This window comes from Homo sapiens, chromosome 1 (genome assembly GCF_000001405.40).
Source record: "Homo sapiens chromosome 1, GRCh38.p14 Primary Assembly".
Taxonomy (NCBI): domain Eukaryota; kingdom Metazoa; phylum Chordata; class Mammalia; order Primates; family Hominidae; genus Homo; species Homo sapiens.
The window spans coordinates 4,377,350-4,382,255 of record NC_000001.11 but is presented as its reverse complement, the minus strand read 5'-3'; the positions used below and the strand labels follow the sequence as shown (position 1 = coordinate 4,382,255).

The 4,906-nt window shown below is 43.9% G+C and overlaps 1 annotated feature.

Annotated features, from left to right (window-relative positions):
- Window positions 1,051–2,250: an enhancer, noted in NCBI's record as "P300/CBP strongly-dependent group 1 enhancer chr1:4440066-4441265 (GRCh37/hg19 assembly coordinates)". NCBI's record gives its function as "activates an origin of replication core promoter dependent on BRD2, BRD4, P300/CBP, MED14 and CDK7 cofactors, with strong dependence on P300/CBP, by STARR-seq in HCT116 cells {active_cell/tissue: HCT116}" and the evidence as "EXISTENCE:reporter gene assay evidence [ECO:0000049][PMID:35650434]".

Sequence of the window (4,906 nt, the reverse complement as noted above, 5' to 3'; positions counted from 1 at the left end):
CATGAGCAGAGGTCCCCATAAACAACACTGCTGCTCCTATCACTTGGGAAATTCCAAAGGATTAGTGTTGTGGGAAGTCAGGGACCCCTGAATGGAGGGACCCGCTGAAGCCGCAGCACAGGAACATAAATTGTGAAGATTTCATGGACATTTATCAGTTCCCAAATAATACTTTTATAATTTCTTATGCTTGTCTTTACTTTAATCTCTTAATCCTGTTATCATCCTAAGCTGAGGATGTACGTCACCTCAGGACCACTGTGATAATTGTGTTAACTGTACAAACTGATTGTAAAACATGTGTGTTTGAACAATATGAAATCAGTGCACCTTGAAAAAGAACAGAATAACAGCATTTTTTAGGGAGCAAGGGAAGACAACCATAAGATCTTACTACCTGTGGGGTCGGGCAAAAAGAGCCATATTTTTCTTCTTGCAGAGAGCCTATAAATGGACGTGCAAGTAGGAGAGATATCCCTAAATTCTTTTCCTAGCAATGAATAATAAAATATTAATACCCTGGGAAAGGAATGTGTTCCTCGGGGGAGGTCTATAAATGGCCACTCTGGGAATGTCTGTCTTATGCAGTTGAGATAAGGACTGATACACCCTGGTCTCCTGCAGTACCCTCAGGCTTATTAGAGTGGGGGAAATCTCTGCCCTGGTAAATTTGTGGTCAGACCAGTTGGTTCTCTGCTCTCAAACCCTGTTTTCTGTTGTTTAAGATGTTTATCAAGACAATGCGTGCACCGCTGAACATAGACCCTTATCAGTAGTTCTGCTTTTGCCCTTTGCCTTGTGATCTTTGCTGGACCCTTATCAGTAGTTCTGCTTTTGCCCTTTGCCTTGTGATCTTTGCTGGATCCTTATCAGTAGTTCTGCTTTTTGCCATTTGAAGCATGTGATCTTTGTACCTACTCCCTGTGCTTACATCCCCTCCCCTTTTCAAACCCTTAATAAAAACGTGCTGGTTTGAGGCTCAGGTGGGCATCATGGTCCTACCAATATGTGATGTCACCCCCAGCGGCCCAGCTGTAAAATTCCTCTCTTTTTACCCTCTCTCTTTATTTCTCAACTGGCCAACACTTATGGAAAATAGAAAGAACCTACATTGAAATATTGGGGATGGGTTCCCCCAATAGTTAGAGTTCACCTTGCAGAAGCCAGGACAAAAGCCAGACCTCTGAAGAAGTGGGGGCATAGTCTTCGTTACACAGTTATCACAATTTGCAACCCTATTGCAACAAAATAAATATTTGCCATATAAACGTCTGCATCCAGAAGTGAAAGCCCCTTTGTAGGAATGTTTAAATTTAGTAAGAGCTAGATTTGAGTTGCTTCAGAGGAGTTCCCACTCAAACTAATGTACTGTAAAATACATCAAAGTCTAGCATATTTTCTGTGCATCCAAGGTGATGAGTAAGACAAACCTGTGACAGTAAAGTTATTGAACATTTATAAAGATGTGGATGTAAATGACGTCATGTTGATGCCAGAGAATGACTCTGCCTGAAACAATTTCCATCAATAAAGAGCTCTCAGTAGCATGACTTGATGATTCATTGGGCAGTTACTCAGCACCAACTATTTGCAAGATAGTGATGAGCTTTGTGAACATTCACCTTCCTTTGGAGTTCTTAATTTTTACCACAATTATTCTAAAATAGGAACCCCTCCTCCCCAACCTTCTTAGAGAACCTCAAAGAGTGACCAGTTAATTTTTTAAACACTCAAATAACAATCTTTTTTTTTAGAAGGGGTCTCACTCTGTTGCCTAGCCTGGAGTGCAATGATATGATCTTTGCTCACTGCAACCTCAGCCTCCTGGGTTCAAATGATTCTCCTGCCTCAGCCTCCCCGGTAGCTGGGATTACAGGCATGCACCACCACATCCAGCTAATTTTTGTATTCTTAGTAGAGACAGAATTTCACCATGTTGGCCAGGCTGGTCTCAAACTCCTGACCTCAAGTGATCCACCCACCTTGGCCTCCCACCAAATAACAATCTTTTCCTGCCAAAAGTAAATTTGCTAAAATGCTTGCTGAAGAAACAGAACACAAATTTCAGGTGCTATGGGTTGAATTATGAACCTTCCGTAGTCTTATGTTGAAGTTCTAAGCCCCAGTACCTGAGGATGTGGCCTTATTTGGGAATAGGCTCATTGCAGGGTCATTAGTTAAGATAAGGTCACACTGAGTAGGGTGGGCAGTCATCCAATCTGGCTGGTGTCCTTGTAAGAAGAGATTAGGACACAGACACACATAGAGGACACAGGAAGGAGACACCCACCTTCAAGCTACAAGAGAGGCCTCAGAGGGAAGCAGCCCTGCCCACACCTTGATCTTAGACTTATGGCCTCCAGGACTGTGGGAGAACACAATTTTATTGTTTAAAGTGCCCAGTGTGTGTATTTTGTTTTGCAAAGTATTGCAGTGGATACACAAAGGCACCGAAGACTCTTTCTGAAGGGAAAACTACCCGTAAAGCAAATCTATCTGCCTGAGTTAGGAAACCACAGATGAGCACGGGGTTCTCACAAAGACACACACAGACAGGAAATGTCGATTCACCACTTTCAGCTGGGTGCTGACAGCACTGTCATCTTTCTTTTCTTCCTTTCGGTTTGGAAAATTCAGCATCATTGGTCAGGGCCCAAAAGCCATCCCTTATGCTTGCATTTTGACCAATACCTGACTACTCAAAGTGAAAAGTGACAGCCACCCTGAGCCCAGATCCTGGAGGCCCCACATCTAATGATAATCAGAGAAGAGAGAATGTGGGGAGAAGAGAAACTGACCACAAATTGTTAGGAGAATTGGGGGTGGAAGGGTTAGAACATTGATTCCAAAATATTATTACTTTAATGTGTGACATTGTTTCCAACCCCATCAGAGGGTTCGGGAGAAAAGACAGGAGAAAGAAGAAGTCAAGAGGGAAAATTGTGCAACAATGACCTATCCTGTTTCCACAACATTGTGCTTTGGACAAACATTGTGATTGTCCAATGTTGTGCTTTGGACAATCAATGTATATTGATTCATTTATCAATATACAGTCATTTAAGGAAATTTGAAAAATGCTGTAAAGATTGGGGATGGAGCTCAAACTTCTCATCAACCCGCACAAAGACAACCAACATGGTGTTTAGGTGTAATACTCAGTATAGATCATATAGTATATCTTCCTCCTCCTCCTCCTCCTCCTCCTTCTCCTTCTTCTTCTCCTCCTTCTTCTTCTTTCTTCTTCTTCTTTTTGTTTTTGAAACAGGTTGCTCTGTTGCTCAGGCTGGAGTATAGCAGCTCACTGCAGTGGCTGGAGCATCACAGCTCACTGAAGCCTTGACCTCTAAGGCTCAAGCTATCCTCCCACCTTGGCCTCCCGAGTAGCAGGAACCATAGGCATGTACCACAACATCTGGATAATTTTTTTAAAAATTGTAGAGACATGTTCTCCCTATGTTGCTGAGGTTGGTCTCAAACTCCTGGGCTCAAGGGATCCTCCAGCCTCAGCCTCCCAAAGTGCTGGAATTATAGGCATGAGCCACCATGCCTGGCCATATGTTCTTTTTACTAGGTATTTTGTTGGGAAAATGTTTCTTTATTGTGATAAAAAATTATTCAAAACATTGTTCATGCAGCTGCACAATAATCCATCATGTCAATGAGCCACAATCAATGTCTCCTCTAATTATTAGGTTTTTCCACTTGTTCCTTATTTTAAGTAATGATGCTATTAATGGATTTGCACACAAATGTTTATTTGCATCTATGATCATTTCAGCAGAACAGATTCTCAGACAGGAGATTGATGAGTGATGGACATTGCATGACTATGCTCAGATCAGCTATCACTCAGTGGAAAGTCTGTGGATTCGCACTACAGCCAGCAAGGCACAGCAGGGCCAGTCCTGCTGAGACAAGGGACATTCATTTCTAAAGTCAGAGCAAAGGGAAATAAATTTCACTTAGCGAATTTCACAATCACTCCTGAAACATTCATTAACATCTGGAAATGTTACAGTGAGCCACAATGGCCTCCAGCCCTGGCATCGTGACCTCTCAAGGTCACGGGAAGAGACTCATCCTCCTCTCCTCCCATCTCCCTTTATAGCTGAGGCCTCAACAGCTCCCACCTGGATGCAGCTCTGGGGCCAGGAGGCCTGTTGGCTCCTTTTGCCTGTTCATGGTCTCATCCAATCAAGTCCAGGGAAAGAGAAAATGTGTTTTCACTTGGCACTTGCTAATTTCCTCCTTTACCAGAAGAAAGATTTATTTTTGTTCTCTGTAGGCAAACGCATTTGGCTTTTGAATAAAATCGGGAGAATCCAGGTGTTTCCAGGCATCCTGGGCACCTGAATCGACAGCTTCGTCTGGTCTGGCTCCCTGGGCAGGGACTAGTTTAGCTGAGTGTTCGTTCACGTTTTACTCCTTTGTCCTCATTCTCTGCTGGGCTGGGCATCAATCCTCAACTCTCCTTTTGCCATGAACAGCGGGGCTCGAAGTTTATGCTTCCGAGCAAAACAGCCCTGACTCCACTTGGGAAAATGAAAAGTGTCTGTAAATTCAAAACAGACCAGGGACCCTGGAGGGTCTGCTCGGCTGCGTCTCCAGGAAGTTTGACTCCAGGTGAGTCATTGCTTTCAGACAGGCTCCCTCGAGGACGACCATTGTCATTAGAAGGAAAGAAGGGAGTTCTCCATACAGGCAGGGATGCGACGGGCACTCCTTAGGACTCCCGGGTTGGAGGAAGCTGCTTAGTCCTCCTGAGATGTCCCCAGTCCATGTGGCTCCTCATGCACACATCTTGGACCCTGAGTTCATATAGTGACAAGTACAGACCATGGAACTTGGCATGTGAGGGACCTGGAATTCTCTCTGACCCTGCCACTTGCTGCAGTGTGACCCA